At 52.3% G+C, this 17,716-nt stretch overlaps 1 protein-coding gene across 5 annotated transcripts in view, besides 2 other annotated features; it reads right to left on the reverse strand.

Annotated features, from left to right (window-relative positions):
• The window catches only part of FOXN4 (forkhead box N4), a 31,307-nt gene that overhangs the window by 10,655 nt on the left and 2,936 nt on the right, over positions 1–17,716 (reverse strand). For 3 of the 5 annotated variants that reach the window (NM_213596.3, XM_011537922.3, XM_011537923.3), the window contains exon 3: positions 1,509–1,654. In NM_213596.3, the coding sequence (NP_998761.2) occupies positions 1,509–1,654 (146 nt within the window). Of the gene's footprint in view, position 1; positions 1,316–1,508; positions 1,655–17,716 lie in introns of those variants that run through there. The other 2 variants (XM_047428311.1, XM_017018818.2) reach the window with 1 other exon arrangement.
• Positions 2,598–2,798: a silencer, noted in NCBI's record as "peak1938 fragment used in MPRA reporter construct". NCBI's record gives its function as "represses an SCP1 promoter by STARR-seq MPRAs in K562 erythroleukemia cells {active_cell/tissue: K562}" and the evidence as "EXISTENCE:reporter gene assay evidence [ECO:0000049][PMID:32103011]".
• Positions 13,052–13,346: a silencer, noted in NCBI's record as "tiled region #9197; HepG2 Repressive non-DNase unmatched - State 23:Low, and K562 Repressive non-DNase unmatched - State 22:ReprW". NCBI's record gives its function as "represses a minimal TATA promoter and a strong SV40 promoter by Sharpr-MPRA in HepG2 and K562 cells {active_cell/tissue: HepG2 | K562}" and the evidence as "EXISTENCE:reporter gene assay evidence [ECO:0000049][PMID:27701403]".

Below are 17,716 nucleotides of genomic sequence, written 5' to 3' on the forward strand. Positions count from 1 at the left end.
CCTTTGTGCCTCCTCTCCCCTTTGCCAAGCCCTGCTGCTCCACACAGGATGAGAATGGCAGACATACTTCCCCCATCTTGTGCTGGGCTTGTGACAGACATTGCTAATCTATCACAGATTCTTACTGCTCTAGCCTGATTTTAGGCAGCCACCTCCAATCAAGCAAAGTTGACCTGCAGGATGGTCTTGCCCTAGGGCCACCTCTTCCAGGAAGCCCTCTGGGTCCTTCAGCTCTCTTCTGAGTTCTGGCTGCCACTGTCCCTAGATCTGTTTGTCTTGTCCTTCTCTCTCTGACCAGATCATCAGCTTTCTAAGAACTGGGACCACAACTTATATCATTCATTGCTCCAAATGCCTGGCACAGTAACAGGCCCACAGAAAGTACCCAGCAGCCACAGTGGGGAAAGAAGAGGAGAGGCGTCCTTATTTCACCATTTGTTAAACACCTCCGCATTCAAGGCACTTTCTGCATTGAATCCTCACAATGTCCCATGCAGGCAGTTCTGTTACACTTTTGCTGCAGATGTGGAAACCAGTCAGGGCAGAAAGCACTTGGCTGAGATCACACAGCTGTTCCCTGGGCGTTCTAGATCAGGGGTTGGCAAACTGGCAGCCAAACTCTGTTTTTGTAAATAAAGTTTTATTGGCACAGAGTTGCATTGATTCATTTACATATTGGCTGTGGCTGGTTTTGTGTTACGATGGCAAAGTTGAATTGTTTTGACAGATCAGTTGACCTACAAAATCTAAAATATTTACTACCTGGCCCTTGACAGAAAATTTGCTGACCCCTGCTGTACATGCTTTGCCCAAGAACGATTTGCCCAATGAAATAAATAATCCTAGACAAGTATTTTTCAACCACTGGTACTTTTAATATACTGTTGTTTATTGTTTTGTCACTGTTTTGCTTTTCTTCAATACTTTCTGTGTCTCTAAGCATTTTATCCATTTGCTATGATTGCACCTAACTGCCACTAGCTGCCTTTTATTGAGCATCGACTGTGTGCCAGCCCCTACACTCAGCACTTTCCACACATTATCTCTTGGAATCCTCTTGATCAGGGGGCAGCAAACTTCTTTTGTGAAGGGCCAGATGGCAAATATTTCAGGCTTTGCCAGCCAGATGGTCTCTGTGTTTTTACAACCCTTGGAAAATGTAAAATCCATTCCTAACACAAAGGCTGTACAAAAACAGGTCGTAGGCTGCATTTGGCCCACGGGCTGTAGTTTGCCAACTGCCCTAGAGGTTCAAGATGCACCAGTGTGGCAGCGGGACTCTATTCACAGAAACCTTAGCTCGCCCAGGGCCTGGCGCACAGTTAAGCAAATGATAAACCACATCTCTCTAAGGAAGGGAGCATTTGTCCCATTTTACAGATGCAGAAAGAGAGGCCCAGAGAGACTGGGAGACCGGGTCATGGCTGCACAGTGGGTGGGTGGCAGGGCTGGGAATCACCCCTCTCCTATATCACCCTCCTCCCTGCCTACCTTGTCCCTGAGCCTACCTGGGTGTGGATGTGGCACGCAGGGGCCACCCAGGTCCACGCGGCCACTTGCCATCTGCTGCAGCCGAGGCACATCCACCGCCGTGAGCCACGACAGCGACTGCAGGTCCCCGGGAAGGTCATCATCGCTGGTGGTGGCTAGAAGCCTGCAAAGAGGAACAGAGAACTCGGGCGGGAGGGGGAGCTTAGGCCAGCTCCTGGGGGTGCGTCCCGACCTCTGGAAGCACCCGCTTAATGTGCCTCATCTCCCCAAGCCACGCCAGCCCTCCAACCTGCCCGTCCCCAGGACTGGACACGGGAACCTGGTCCCAGATCCCTTTCGGCAGCCAGATCTTTCATCCTCATCATTCCTTCCTTAGCCCACTTAACGCATCCTACTTAGCACCTACCACATAAACAATGCACGCGAATATTTGTTGAGGACTTGACCAGTGCCAGACACCGATCAAGCCTTTTTACACTCCCAGTCACCCTATGAGGCAGGTGTTATTATTCCTATTTTACAGATGGGGAAACCGAGGCACAGTTGGAGCTCACCTACTATGGGACACTACAGCACAGAGCACTCAGGGCCTGTGGTCAGGGTCCCACCTGCCATGACAAGATCAGTCACCTGACTCCATGTCCAGGGCAGTTTCCTGCTGTACTGTAGCTGTGAGGAACATGGAACTTGGGAACGGTCTGCGTGGATGATCCTGCCATGTGCTGAGGCAGCTGAGTGCCTGCTACCTGCCAGGCCCTGGACTCAGCATTCAACAAGCGCTGTCCTGCACAATCCCCACAGCTGCTGTGAGATGTAGGGTGGGCCCATACTCCCCTCGTACAGATGAGAAAACTGAGGCTTGGAGCACCGAGTCACCTGCCCAAGGCGACACAGAACAGGAGGTGGTGGGGCTGAGACCCAGTCAGTGCCTCCTGAAGCCTGAGCCCTTCAACTCGACCCCTGGTGGTCCCAAGAGGCTCCAGTTAGGACCCACACCCACCAGCCGCAACAGATTCATGGGCAAAACATCGGTTGTAGTGGATGTAGGATAGCTGCCCATGGAGGTGCCAGACAGGTCGGTGATTTGGGATAGCCATGTCACTCCCCAGTGCCCTCAAGTCACACTTGCCACGCGACTCCGAGAGCATCGGGTCTTACACCACCATCCGGGCCCTGTCGTGATGGTGCAGACCAGCCCAGGAGCACACGCCCGACTCCACCACATCTGCCACCCCTGTAGCCAGGGGCTTTCTGTGTCACCACCAAGAGGCCCACAGTCTAAATTCTAAGTTCCATGTTTCAAAAATAGCCTCATAGATTGAGGGGCAGAGAGAGGCGGGACACCGACCCATCCTGCCCTGGTTTTCTGCGCCTCTCGGAGGCTCCAGCAAAGCCCGGCCCCTTCCCTCCCTCCATCTGCTTGGCCAGCTCTGCCTCACGTTCTCCCTCTCCCTCCTCCTCCCTGTCTCTCTCTCTGCTCCTCCCCATCTCTCCCCTCTTGTGTTTTAGGGCCACAATTAGCGTTGCCATGGCCACACTGCTCAGTTGTCGCAGGGCCGGGCCCTGGGCCCACAAAGCTGGCATCAGGTGACTGCCTGGCTGCCCCCGCGATTGGCTGCCTCATAGGGAAACAGGGCCTGGAAACGATTTGAAAACGCGGCCGGCCGGCCGTGTCAGTGGCAGCAGTTGGTCCGGCTGCTGTCCCCCGGCATCCCATTGTGTGACAAACGACTGTTGCCCCTGTGGCACGTGGCCCCCATTGTCCCAGGGTCTCAGTGCAATTGTTTCTGCAGCCCCCCGGCTGCCACCCCTCCGGCCGCCACCCCTCCGGCTGCCACCCCTCCGGCCTGCTCGTAACTCATCTGGCCAAGTGACAGCCACGGCCCCGGGCCTGGGCGATACCATCTGTCCCCTCAGGCCCTGGGAGACCACGGGGTGAGGTGCAGGGGCAGGGCCTGCTATGCCACCCGCTGTTGGGGGTGCTGGCCAGTCCTCACCCTCCCTTCCTCACCCACTGGCCAGACAACCTCCCGGCGCCTGGTGGTGCAAGCCATGCTCCTGTTCAGTAACCTGCTGTGACTCCCCACTGCCCTGGCTGCTCTGCTTGGCACTGCGGTAACAAGGAGAAGTGGAGATGGGTCCCTGCTGGCAGGTTTGGTAAGGTGGCTGCCCTCCAAAGCTCCCTGAGTAGTCGGGGGGAGGGGCTATAAATAACCCAGGTTCCTAAGTGCCACTGTGGGGCAGGATCTCTGGCAGCAGGTAAACCTAACAGGCAGTACTCGTGGTGGTTAAATGCTTGGGCTCTGGATTCTAATCCTGGTTTCCACTTGCCTGTGTGCCCTTGGGCCACTGGCTTAACCTCTCTGAGCCTCAGTTTCTTATCTGTATAATGCGGATAACAATAGCTGTTATCGCATAGGATGTCATAAGAAATATGTAATTGTATGTAAAGCACTTGGAACAGTGGCTCACGGTCAATGTAATATGAATATTTAGCTGCTATTAATATTAATACCAACATTAATGCTCATATTAATATCCACCAGGTCGCCAGGGGGCTGGAAGTACACTGAAGCTTTGGGGTCTGGGGGTCACACCGACATGCCCCGGCCACTGCTACCACTAAACACGCCCATGTAATGAGCACTGCCTGGGTTTTACACTGGCCCCATTTTACAGATGAAGAAACTCAGGACTGAGTGGTCACTTCAATGCTGTCAGCCTGTTTCCCTATAGAGTGAGGATTACACGAAGTCACGTATAAAGGGCTGAGCACAAGGCTGAGCATCTAGTTGGGCTGAGTCAATGGCACTATCCTGATTCTTCTCTTTCCTGCTACTCGTGAGCCCCTCTGGCTCCCCCTTCCTGCAGCCCCACTCCTTCTGCAGCCCCCCGCAGGCCCAGGCAGGGCTCACCTCCACGCCTTTGCATTTGCCGTTCCCCTTGCAGGAATGATGCCCTTTCTGCTCCCTCCCCTGCACCCATGCCCACCCCTGGAGGCTCACTGCAAAGTCTGACTTCTGGCCTCTTCACCCCAGACATCCTGCAGACATCACTGGACCCCACCTCTTACTTTACCTCTGGAAAGCAGAGACTGGTTTGCTCCCAATCTCACAGTCTGGAAAAGGACCAGGGTTGGGGTCCTGACTCCCTGTGCAGGTTCCTGCTACCCCGAGAGCAGCACCTCCGCTGGGAAGCCTTTGCCACCCAGACCCCAAGCACAGGGACCCACTCTGCACCCTGACTGCTCTCTACACTTCGCCAGGACCAGCCAGTCCTGCACTGTCTAGTTCTCTGCCCCATCACTCTGCCTTCTGGCTCATTGAGTGTTGGCTCCAAACCCCATATTGCCCCATGTCCTTGCACACAGTGGGTGCCTTTGTTTGTTTTTTGAGACAGAGTCTCGCTCTGTCACCCAGGCTAGAATGTAGTGGCACGATCTCGGCTCACTGCAACCTCCGCCTCCTGAGTTCAAGCGATTCTCCTGCCTCAGCCTCCTGAGTAGCTGGAAGTACAGGCACGCGCCACCACGCTGGGCTAATTTTTGTATTTTTATTAGATATGGGGTTTCACCATGTTGGTCAGGCTGGTGCTGAACTTCTGACCTTGTGATCCGCCCATCTTGGCCTCCCAAAGTGGGTGCCCTTTAAATGCCTGCTTGGCTGGTTGAAATAGGCTGACCGCAGGCCACCAGCGCTGAGAGTTGGTGTGACAGTGACGGTCACATCTAGCTCTTTTGAACTGACAGAGCGGTCTTCCACCTCCTCAGGTCCTTGCCACAGTCCCAGGACAGGGACAGAGAGTAGGCAGCCCCACTTCACAGAGGGGGAAGCTGAGGCCAGCCCAGTAAAAGCAAAATCCCTTTGTTTATAAGCGAGGCAGTCAGAACTCGAACCCGGGTCTGTCTGCCTCCCTCAGGTGGTTCCTGTGGCACTACAGGTGGAGATCAGACGTCTTCCGGGGGAGATGCCCCACCCTGGGTCCCAGGCTCTCACTTGGGGCTACGCGAACCGGCATCTCCCAGAGAGCCAGTTAAAATGCAGAGTTGGGGCCCCAGCTCAGACCCTGAAGCCCCACCCTTGGGACTTCCAGCTATGCTCTGGGGGAAGGACAGCCCACAGGGGACACGGCCAAAGCTCAGGCTTTGACTGGACAGATCTAGGTTCAAGTCCTTGTAACCCCTGAGCTGCGTGACCTTGGACAAGTCACTGCAGGTCCCTGGGGCTCCAATCCCTGGCTGTCGTAGGATCAGGTGAGCCACTGTGTGACTGACTTTTGGCACAGGTGCAGTCCCCATCTCCCTTCTCGGGGGTTTGCTGTACATGCTTGGGGTCGATGGCCAGGCCCCTGCTTCCCCACTACTCCAGGCATCCCAAAGGTGGTCTGGTCCTCTCTTGTGCCCACTGCCCATGCCAGAATGTCCACCTCAGTGCACCTGACAGGTGGCCCCAGCCAGCACCCTGGACACCTGCAGTGGCTGTGGGTACCAGGAGCACTGTGGTGGGAGTCCACTGGCTCCGAAGGCTGGCTAACTTCCTGCTGTCTCTTAGGGTCTCTCTGGCATTCAGGCATGTCTTCTGCATACATGGCAAGGTCCAGGGGCTGATGCACTAGGGCCTACATGAGAATGTCTCATCCCCCAACCCCCTGCCCACACTGACCTCTGTCCCCTGCAGAAAGGTCAGCACGTGCCCCTCTCCACAGTGGCATGTGAAGCCCCCTCCACACCTCTCCCTCATCAGTGCCTGAAGTTCCCTCATTAAAGGTGTCCCCATGTGCCCTCGCCTCTCCTGGTGCCTCATTTGAGATGTTGTAAACTACAGGGCTCACAGCAGCTGTAACTCAGGAAAGACTCCTTGGTTCTGGAACCACCCATTCTGGCTTCTCAGCCATAGGCCCTGGGGAGGGCACTTAATCGCCAGCCTCAGTTTCCCACCTGTAAAATGGGCATGAGTGATAATAATAATAATAGTAATAGCCGCAATACCTCATACCCCCCAGGCTGGCACACTGGTGTGGAGGCGGAGTGGCTTTGTGATCCACCCTGCCATCTTAGAGGGTTTGGGAATATTCCCTGGTGTGTGTGTAACAGAGAGAGCCACACAGAGAGAGACCCTAAATCAACCTCCTAAGTTTCTCCTCTACTGGAAAATGACAGGACATTTTTAATTCAAAGAAAAAGGCACATTCTAGCCCCACTGCCCTGGGCTCTCCTCCCAAGGCCTGTTCTGCTCCCCATCTGGGTGTGTCACTTCAGTTCCTGGGCGAGAGGAAAATTCAGCCCTGCTAACCCTGAGTCTCCCATGTCACTGATGCCTGCCTGCCTAGGGTCACCTCCAGAGGAGGCTTTGAGAAGAATCAACTGCAAAGACCCAACTCTGGCCGGGTGTGGTGGCTCATGCCTGTAATCCCAGCACTTTGGGAGGCCAAGCCAGGCAGATCACCTGAGGTCAGGAGTTTGAGACCAGCCTGGCCAACATGGCGAAACCCTGTCTCTACTAAAAATACAAAAAGTAGCTGGGCACGGCGGCGTGCGCCTGTAATCCCAGCTACTCGGGAGGCTGAGGCAGGAGAATTGCTTGAACCTAGGAGGCGGAGGTTGCAGTGAGCCAAGATCATGCCACTGCACTCCAGCCTGGGCGATAGAGCAAGATACTGTCTCAAAAAGAAAAAGAAGACCCAACTCCTTCCACCCGCTTCCTCCACTCTCCCTCCATCTCTGACTCCCCTTCTCTCTTCTTCTGTGTCTGTCACTGTAACTGAGGGGCCCTGGGAGGAAGTCCCAGCCCTGCCCTTCAGGTTTGGTGGCATCTGATGTGCTTCCTAACCTTCCTGAGCCTCAGTTTCCTCATCTGTAGAATGGGAGCAACAATGATGAAGGCAGAGCACCCACAAGAGCTCTGATAAGTGCCCATCCTCTCCTCTTCCCCTTTCTCTGACATGGCGTCCAGGGTCCCCGATCTCCCATGGACCTGTCTCCACCCTACTCACCTACAGTCCCCTGCATGGTACCAGCCCTGCTGCTGGGTCGCCCAGAGGCACTGAGCCAGGCTTTCTGGGGAAGAGGCCGGGTACCTGCAATTAACGCATCCCCCAGCCTCAGGTGGTTCCTGCGCACCCAGCGCTGGGGAGCTGTGGCCCCATCCTGCCCTCCAACCTGTTCAGGTGACCCCCGTGCTCTCACTCAGGTGTGGTATGTGACAAGCCTCCGTTGCACTAAAGGTCCCGGCTGGGGCCAAATGTCCTTCCCCCCTTCTCTGTGTGCCTTCCTCTGTGTCTCTGCGCCTTCTGTTCCCTCACAAAGGATGCCTTTCCTTCTCCCTCTCTGCACCTTTCAGTGTCTCCCCATTGGATTCCCGATTTCTCTGAGCCCCAGGGAGCGCTCTAGTTGGCCACAATTTTCTTCTGAGCCCAACTGGTGGCCCCAGGGAGGGTAGGGGCTACACCTTCAGGTCTTCAGGGTCCCTAAGGGTCTGGCAGGGAGGAGACCAGGACAGGACAGGGGTTGAGTCCCCTGCTGGGTGCAGGCAGCCCCCAGAGACCCTGATGCTGAAGCAAGGACCCTCATGCCCCCAGGGGAGGAGCCAAACTCCCAGTGCCCAGCACAGGGCCGGGCACACAAAGGCTGCTCTACAAGTACCCACAGATGAACACAGATGAGCAAACAGACCCAGCATTCTGGTTGCTCCACCCACACTCCCCTGGGGTCAGCTGTCCCCCCATGGATGTGGCATGGGGTGGACAAGCCCCTGGTGTGCGCCCAGCCCTGAGCTAAAGCCACTTTCTCACTGGATCTCACATCATCCTTGCAAGAGCCTGATCAGGCAGGGATTGTTATCGTCACCACCTTCCCATTTGCCAGACGAGAACACTGAGGCCAGAGAGGAACAGGCCTGTCTAGGGTCACCCAGCCAGGGAGCTGTGGAACCAGGAGATCCACCTCCAGAGACTGGGTTGGCCACAACAACCCTGTCCTTTTCTCCCTGGCTGAAGAAGTGTGCTCTATTACAGAGGTCAACAACCTCCAGGCTGAGGACCAGTACTGGTCCGTGGCCTGTTACGAACCGGGCTGCACAGAAGGAGGTGAGTAGCAGGTGCCTGAGCTCCACCTCCTGTCAGATCAGCAGCGGCATTAGATTCTCACGGGAGCGTAAACCCTATTGTGAACTGCACATGCAAGAGATTTAGGTTGTCCACTCCTTATGAGAATCTTTTTGTTTTGTTTTGTTTTCTTGAGACAGGGGCTTGCTCTTGTCGCCCAGGCTGGAGTGCAGTGGCATGATCTTGGCTCACTGCAACCTTCACCTCCTGGGTTCAAGTGATTCTCCTGTCTCAGACTCCCAAGTAACTGGGATTACAGGCGCCACCATGCCCAGCTCAGTCTTTGCATTTTTAGTAGAGATGGGGTTTCACCATGTTGGCCTGGCTGGCCTTGAACTCCTGACCTCAAGTCATCCACCCACCTTGGCCTCCCAAAGTGCTGGGATTACAGGCGTGAGCCACGGTGCCCAGCCTCCTTATGAGAATCTAATGTCGGATGATATGAGGTGAAACAGTTTCATCCCGAAACCATCCCCCTTCCTTCACCCGGTCCATGGAAAAATTCTCTTTCACAAAACCAATCCCTGGTGCCAAAAAGGCTGAGACTGCTGCTCTATGATATCTAGAAAATCCTCGCAGTGTCTCCCCAATAGGCAGGCACAAGCAGCTATTTACATTTAAATTCATTGAAATAAAATCAAATGTACAGATTTGGTTCCTTGGCCCATCAGCCACGTTTGAAGTGCTGAATGGTCACACATGGCCAGTGCAGATATGAAATATCTCCATCAGTGGAGAAAGTTCTAGGTGGCAGTGATCTGAAACAATCTTTTCCATCTTGATGGAAAAAATCTGTGGTGTTCTTACATTGCCTTAAAACAACTAGAAATTTGATTTAGATCTGGAAATTTAAGGAGATGATTTCATGGAATTTTGAGTTTTAGTATGTTTCATTGTAAAAGGAGTCCCCCATCGCCATCCCCACCACCAGCAAGGAGGTTGCAGGGAAGAGCTCTGTAAAACAGGAGCTGTGCATTAGGGCATCTCACAAAGTTGTGAGCCCCCCGTCCCAGACCTATCCAAGCAGTAGCCGAGGGGATGAACTGCCAGGCCCCTGCTGGATGAAAGATGAGCCCAAGCAACCTGTACGGTTCCTTTTGTTTCAGGTTTTTTTTTTTTGTTTTTTTTTTTTGCTTTGTTTTGTTTTGTTTTTGTTTTTAACATGGAGTTTCGCTCTTCTCCAATGGAGTGCAATGGCATGATCTCGGCTCACTGCAACCTCCGCCTCCCGGGTTCAAGGAATTCTCCTGTCTCAGCCGCCTGAGTAGTTGGAATTACAGGCACCCACCACTACACCCAGCTAATTTTTGGCATTTTTAGTAGAGAGAGAGTTTCACCACGTTGGCCAGACTGGTCTCGAATTCCTGACCTTAGGTGATCCGCCCACCTCGGCCTCCCAAAGTGTTGGGATTACAGGTGTGAGCCACCACGCCCAGCCCTTCTAAGGTTGCTTTTGATGCAAAGACCCCGACATTTGTGGGAGAAACCTGCAGGTGAACCCCCTGGGAGCATTTCCAAAGTTCCATCATCTTGGGCAAGCACCTTTCCTTCTCCAGACCTCAATTTCCCCAACTATAAAGCAGCAGCAACAGAGTAGAGGGTCCCTCAGGGCCACAGGTGTGAGCTCCTCCTGGCTGCGTGACCTGGGGCTGGTGACTTATCTGCCCTGGGCCTCAGTTTCACTGTGTAGACAGTGGGAATAATAATAGCAGCTACCCTAAGGGAGTTGCCTGAGAGAAAATGACAACAGTTCATCAATAATTTATTTAAGCATCAGATCAGATGAGGCATCTGGTCTGCTGAAAAGGCAGGCAGAACTATTAGTTCAGGGGTCCCCAGGGTGACTCCTGACAATGTGTCTTTCTCAAACTACGTGGGTGATCTGTCACCCACAGGGAGTCCTCATTGGTGAGCAGAGAGCTTTTTGGGCAAAAAGAACATAAAAGACCTATCTGGTGCTCCAGAGTCTCCCTGAATTCAATAGTTCACCAGCAACTTCCCCCGCCCCCAAGGACGCTTCTTGCTTTTCAAAGCTCAGCCTTTTGCAGGTGCATATTTTTCCTTATCAAAACGCATATGCACACAGACACACACACGCACGCATGCACACTACGCACACGGATGCACACATGTGTGCACACACACGTGCACACACACAACACACATATGCACACACAACACACACGTGCATGTAAACGCACACATGCACACGCCCACAGACCCTAGAGGCTTCATCATCCCCTTTAACAGATAGGAAAGGTGAGGTCAAGCCAGGTGACCTCGCCAAATCCCCAAGCTTCAGCAGCCCCAGGTAGCTGCTTCAGCACCTCCCTCCTTAGGCCTCGATTTCCTCATCTGGGATGCCACTAGAGCCCCTTTAGGCAGTCCCCCCTCTGCCAGGAAGTAGGGGGATGCTGAAGGGTTGGGTCCCCTTTTGAAGGGACGGAACACATGGAGCATTCAAGGTCTGAGACAGATCCGGGCAAGGATTGAGGTGGCACCCTGGGAACATCAGTGTCAGAATAACACTCTATCATTGGTGTAATCCATTTCCCAAGTACCTACTATGTGCTTATTACTTCATGGGTGTTACCTGTGTGCCCTTGTGAGTTCTGCAATGCCACATCCTAAGCCCATCCCAGCGGGGCAGCCCAGCCCCGGGTCCCCCTTTGCTCTCTCTGTGGCACTGCAGTGGAGTGGTCACCCAGGTAGGCTTTGGGGTCAGCCAGGCCTAGATCTGGCCACTTAGCAGCTGTGAGAATTGTCTGCAGCTGTCTGCCTCTCTGAGCCTCAGTTTGCACATCTATAAAATGGGAGTGCTAATGCTCATCCATCTCACGAGGTATGGTGAGGATTGAAGGAAGGCACACAGGTAGGCCGCTCACCCCAGTGGTGGTGGTCCCATTATAGTAAACATCTCCTGAAGAGTATGGAGAAGTAGACCCCGTGAAGACAGCCAACAGCAGGGTGTCCGGCACTCGGGAAGTGTCTGCTTTATTCCACAGCATTTCTTGAACTCTCACTTGCCAGGCACTGTTCTGGCAAGCAGAAGCAACTGTCCGCATCCAAGGAGATAACTTTCTGATTGACGCCAGAATGCACAGGAGAGACCCCTGCATGGGATGCTACCTTCCTGCCAACCCCCTAGGTCCAAAACTCTCCAGTCTCCTGAGAGCCTGTGGGGACAGCTACCTGTCATCCTCATTTCACAGATGGGATGGCTGAGGCCCAGAGAGATGAGTGACATGTCTCAGCCACATAGCATATCTGCAAAGGAGCTGGGATTTGAACCAGGGACGCACTCAGAGCCTGGAGCCTCTTCACTCAGCTGCTCTACCAGTTTGGTTGAAATGCAGGAAGGGCAAACCCTCATCATATCATTTATTTAAAAAATCAGGGTGTGCCCAGGCGTGATGGCTCATGCTTGTAATCGAAGCGCTTTGGGAGGCTGATGCAGGAGGATCACTTGAGGCCAGGAGTTCAAGACCAGCCTGGACAACATACTGACACCTTGCCTCTACAAACATTTTTTAAATTAGCCAGGCATGGTGATGCAGGCCTGTGGTCCCAGCTACTTAGGAGGCTGAGGCAGGAGGATTGTTTGAGCCCACAAGTTTGAGGCTGCAGTGAGTTCTGATTACGCTGCTGCACTCCAGCCTGGGGGACAGAGCAAGACCCTGTCTCTAAAAAAATAAAAATAAAAAATAGAAAATAAAAAAATCCAGCTGCCAGGTATCCCCATGGTGTCACAGTCACTTGTCAGGGGACCCTGTGGTAGCTCTGGGCAAGGCAAGACACCACTGGAGTCCATGGCTTCCATCCTACGCTGACTGGGAGATCAACCCAACCCACTTTAATGGACAATGTCCTTAATCAGTTGTGTTGCTGGAGGGAGGAAAGAAACCGGCAGGGAACAGGAGGACAGGGACCAGGGAGACCTGCATTCCAGTCCAGCTCCACTCTTAATGGGGAAGTCTTGGGAAGATAACTCAATGCCCTTTGAACCCCAGCATCCTCGTGTGCCGAACAGAGGTGAGAACAGAGCCTGACTCTCAGTTCGGGGTAGGCAAACCATAGGTGCCATGTTTGGCTCCAGGTAGGCACTGGAGAACTGTTTGTGGAATGGATTTAACACCCAGCAGCCAAAGTGACCTCTTACAAGGGACATTGGAACCTGTCATTGTCCTTAAAACCCACCAAGGGAGTGAGAGTCAAGCTCCTCACCTTGACCTGGCACTCGACCATCTCCTTCCCCACCTCTCTCCTTCCATCCTCTCTGCTCTAGCAACCTGTCCATCTCCCAGTTCCTCAAACATTCTAATTCTCACTCATCTTAAGATCACTGTACACACTGTTCCCTCTGCCTGGAATGCTGTTCCATGCACTCATTTATAGCTGGCTCTTTCTCAGCCTAAATGATCTCTCCTGCAAGAGGCCCTCCCAGGCCCTCCCTATCTCTTCCTGTGGGTGTCCACAGAATACTTATTTTGCAATGAGATATTTACTTATACATGTTTCCAGTCTTTCTGCCATAGGATGGCAAGGACCAGGAGGCCCTCTATTTTGTTTAGCACCTGGCATAGGACCTGACGCCCTGTGGGCATCTATTACATACTCTCAAGTATGAAAGCTAGAGTCAGAAAGGGAGGAAGAGTCCTCAGCCCAGCCCAGCCCCAACATATCTTGCATTCTTCAATCTCCATTCATTTCCTGCCCAGCTTAAATACACCTCCTCCAGGAAGCCCTCCCAGACCAGTTCAGCATCTCCCAGTTTTCCCTTCTCCTGAAATGGTTAGTGCTGTCAGTATCTACACGTAGCACAGACCACTCATGATCACCCACTAATGTAACCCAGGCATCTGTTCTTACCCGCTCCTCCCTTCTAGATACTAAATGCCAAGAGGACAAAGATGGATGTGTCTTACACCTCATTACAAGACCCATAGCAGCCAGCTCTGAGCCTTTCATTTGACAAATATTTGTCCCCCCAATGTGAACTGGACCCCCACGGCCACTGTCCCGTGATTGTTGCCATAAAGGTAAAATGCAATGAACTTGCCATAGAGCCTGGCAGGTGCCCACACAGGGTCACACATATTTATGGATGGATTATGGTTTCTGTGGGAATACTTGCCTACATAGCTGAAGTCCAGAGACCACAATTAACTCTTTACTTCCTACCTTGGGATTCCTTAGGTTGATACAGCAATTGTACAGAGGAAAGAATATCCATCTTGAGTTTAGTTGAAATCTCATCTCAACCCCTTCATAGCTGTGTGATTTGGGGGAAGTCACTTCACCTCTCTGTGCTGCAGTTTCCTCATAAGTAAAATGGAATAATAATAATTCTCACCACAGGGGGCAGATGTGAGGATAAGATCAGGTAACCTCTAAGACAAAGCCAGACACATAGTAGTAGGTGCTCAGGCCACATTTCTCTCTTCCCACTTCATTCTCTCCTCTGCGTTGTCATTTAGGAGGGGTCTGCCTGACAAATATTGCCGGGGGGTGGGGGTTAGATCACCATTCCAGAGATTCAGAGACATGTCCCGCCCTACCTGCGCGGCAACTCCGCCCTGATTACAACAAGGTTTCGCCTGCCTTCTTGAGATGTGGTGGGTAAGAAACTGTTACATCACTGAAAGCTGTTCTTGTTCCCAATCCAACCATTACACAAAAAGGGATTAAGCATTTCATGGAGGTGTTTATTTAGCTAACACATCTTTTGTAACCATGTGCAGGATAAAGAAAATCAAATACAATTTAGCAAGCTCAGAAATTCCCAGCTTGGCCAAGGGTCAGTGTAGTGTGAAATGATTTGATTAGGAATTTGGATAAAAGAATCTTTCCTTTCTAGAACAAGAGTTGGCTTGGGACTTAGAATGTGCATGTGTGTGTGAGTGCATGCACACATGTGTTTTTTAGGGATGAAACTGCAAGACTGGGAAAGAGTCGGACCACAGAGAGGCTACCTCTCTTCCTTGCCCATAAGGTCACCTGAGGAGCTGTTCTCTCCACCCTGAGGGTGAAGGGATGGGAAGACATCGGGATGGTTACTGCCCCTAAGAAACGGAGCCCCTTCCAAGGAGATCACAACTGATGGGTGAAGCCACCTGATATGGGTTAAACTATCCCCACACGCAGTGTGGGTTCAAGAGAAATTTATCATCCCTTGAGCATGAAGCCTCCCTGTGTTTCCATGGATGTGTTATTTTCACGTGATATTTGTCCATTCATCCATCTATCCAGTACATATGTATTAACTTTTATCTACTGTGTGCCCAGCATTGCAGTCCACAGATAAGAGAACCACCATCCAGAGAGAGGAAGGGCTTTCCCCTAAGGTCGCCTCATTTCTTAGAGCAGGGACTGAGATTTTGGGAAGTGAACATCCAGCACGAGGATCCAGAAGGAGGACCACTGAGCCTTGTGGCCCTGGGAGAAGGTGAGGGTCCAAGAAGCCAGAAGCCTGCCTTCCGTCATCTCACTGGGCCTCAGTTTCCCAATCTGTAAAAGGAGCTTGTTGGACCTGACCTCTAGAATAAATTCTAAAAGGTAGGGGCAGGTGATTAATAATATAAGTTCTGCCCCTTCATAAATGTGTGCCTTTGAGCAAGTCATGTCTCTTGGCCTCAGTATCCTTACCTGTAGATTGGGATAATGTCAGTACCTGTCTCATGGTTGTTACTATAAAAAAGTGGCACGCCTGTAATCCCAGGACTTTGGGAGGCTGAGGCAGGCGGATCACTTAAGATCAGGTGTTGAAGACCAGCCTGGACAATATGGTGAAACCCCATCTCTACTAAAAATACAAAAATTAGCTGGGCGTGGTGATGGGCGTCTGTAATCCCAGCTACTCAGGAGGCTGAGGCAGGAGAATTGCTGGAACCCAGGAAGTGGAAGTTGCAGTGAGCTGAGATCGCACCACTGCACTCCAGCCTGGACGATAGAGCCAGACTCCGTCAAAAAAAAAAAAAAGAAAGAAAAGAAAAGAAAGAGAAAGAAAGAAAGAAAGAAAGAAAGAAAGAAAGAAAGAAAGAAAGAAAGAAAGAAAGAAAGAAAGAAAGAAAGGAGAAAGAAAGAAGGAAAGAAGGAAAGAAAGAAGTAAATAAAAAGATGAAATGGGATGCTGCCCTTGCTAAGATGTTTTGCAGGTGCCTGGCACACAGTAGATACTTAATAACTCTGTTTTAGCACCTCTAAGGGTGGACTTTCCTCCCACCCCCTGAGCTAGAGAGAAATCCAGCTAACCCACATTGAGCATGAGCCCTGTTTACCGTTGCCCAAGAGGTCAGGACCACCCCCAGTCCCCTGCCCCTTCATCAGCAGCAGGGCTGAGAGGCTGCTGCCAATTTGCTGTCTAGGCCCCGCCACTGACTCCTGACAGCTCCCCAGGGACAGGGCAGCCGCCTCTAGCTGCTGCCCCCGCCCTCCTGCACACAGCCATTGAAAATTAACGGCCAAACTCAGCCCCAGGGGGATGGAGAGCCAGGCGGCTGCACGAGAGGCTGGACCCACAGCCTAAGTGGTCCTTGGAGTCCTTCTCTGGGATGTGGGAGGGCGAATGAGAAGCCCATAAACTTTTCCTGGGCTACTATTTGGGGAGAAAAATGGGAGTGGTTGGAAGTGGGAAGTCACTGTGTAATCATAAAACCCCCTCTGCAAGAAAGCATTCTCTCCCAGGCCCCTCTGAATGCCTTGACCCATTCGAAGTGCAGAATCCTCCCAGCAAACCTGCAAATTGGGTGGCTCCATTTCACTGATGAAGAACCTGAGGCTCAGAGAGAGGCAGTGACTACTCCAGGGTCACACTGAGGTGAGGTGATGCAGCAGCTTATTCTGTTCCAACACCCGTGCTCATGGCCAGTGGGACTTGGGGCCAGTGGTCACAAATGGTGGTTACAAATACTCTCAGGGTGCAACCACTTTGGGGCCAAGTCTCCACTGTACCCATGATGAGCTGTGCCATCTTGTTAAGCCATTTAAACAGGCTCAGCCTTGGTTTCCTCATTCACCAAATGGGCCCAAGAGTTCTACCTTCATGGGGTGGTTTTGGGGATTTGATGGGATTTGACGGGGATTTATGCCAAAAGCCAAGAGCACAGGGAAGGCAGGCAGTAAAAGGTTAAGAAACCACCAGCTGCTATTATTATTGTTGTTATTATTATTATTATGTTATTTTGCCTTCTGGATACTCTGGCTGTTGGATATAAGAAAACACTGCTGGGCACGGTGGCTCACGCCTATAATCCCAGCACTTTGGAGGGAGGTCGAGGCAAGTGGATCACTTGAGGTCAGGAGTTTGAGACCAGCCTGACCAACATGGCAAAACTCTGTCTCTACTAAAAATAAAAAATTAGCCAGGCACGGTTGCTCTCGCCTGTAATCCCACCTATTAGGGAGGCTGAGGCAGGAGAATTGCTTGAGCCCGGGAGGCGGAGGTTGCAGTGAACTGAGTTCACACCACTGCACTCCAGCCTAGGTGACAGAGTGACTCACACACACAAAAAAAACAAGTAAAAAAACCAAAAACAAACAAACAAAACAAAAACCAGCCTTGAATCCACGTGAACAGGAAAGGCTTGTGCCAGACCAGGAGCCTGGGCACCTCTGGATCCAGTGCTGATGGGAACAGGCCTGCTTCTCCTCCCCACTCCCCAACTCCTGACCCCTGCTAGCTCGGCAGTGGACTGGCTAGGCATTGCCAGGCCCCCAAGAAGTTCTCTGCTTGCCCCGCCCTGTTTTTGGAGAAGGGCAGTTGCTTAGTGCCCCCAGACAGTTTGTCAGCTGGGTGGCCCAGATGAACAAGGTCAAGACTCCGGGGCTGAGTCTGATGGGAGCCCCTCCTGGGCAGCACCTGGGCACCTGGATTCAGGGTTTCTCCCACCCTCCAAGTTCCTCCCCACTTCCCACCGTGAGAGCCCTCCATAGACGCGTCTCTTGCGGGAAGCTGGACTCTCTAATGTAACTAAGTGGTAACAGCAACAGCAACTACTGATTATGTGTTTCTTGCTCTACAAGCTTTATTTACTTAATCCTCCCAGCAACTGCATGAGGGAAGAGCTGTGATCATGCCCATTTTAAAGATGAGAAACAAAAGCAAGTCACCGGCCCTGCCTAAAGC

The sequence above is a fragment of the Homo sapiens genome, chromosome 12 (assembly GCF_000001405.40).
Source record: "Homo sapiens chromosome 12, GRCh38.p14 Primary Assembly".
NCBI classification, from domain to species: domain Eukaryota; kingdom Metazoa; phylum Chordata; class Mammalia; order Primates; family Hominidae; genus Homo; species Homo sapiens.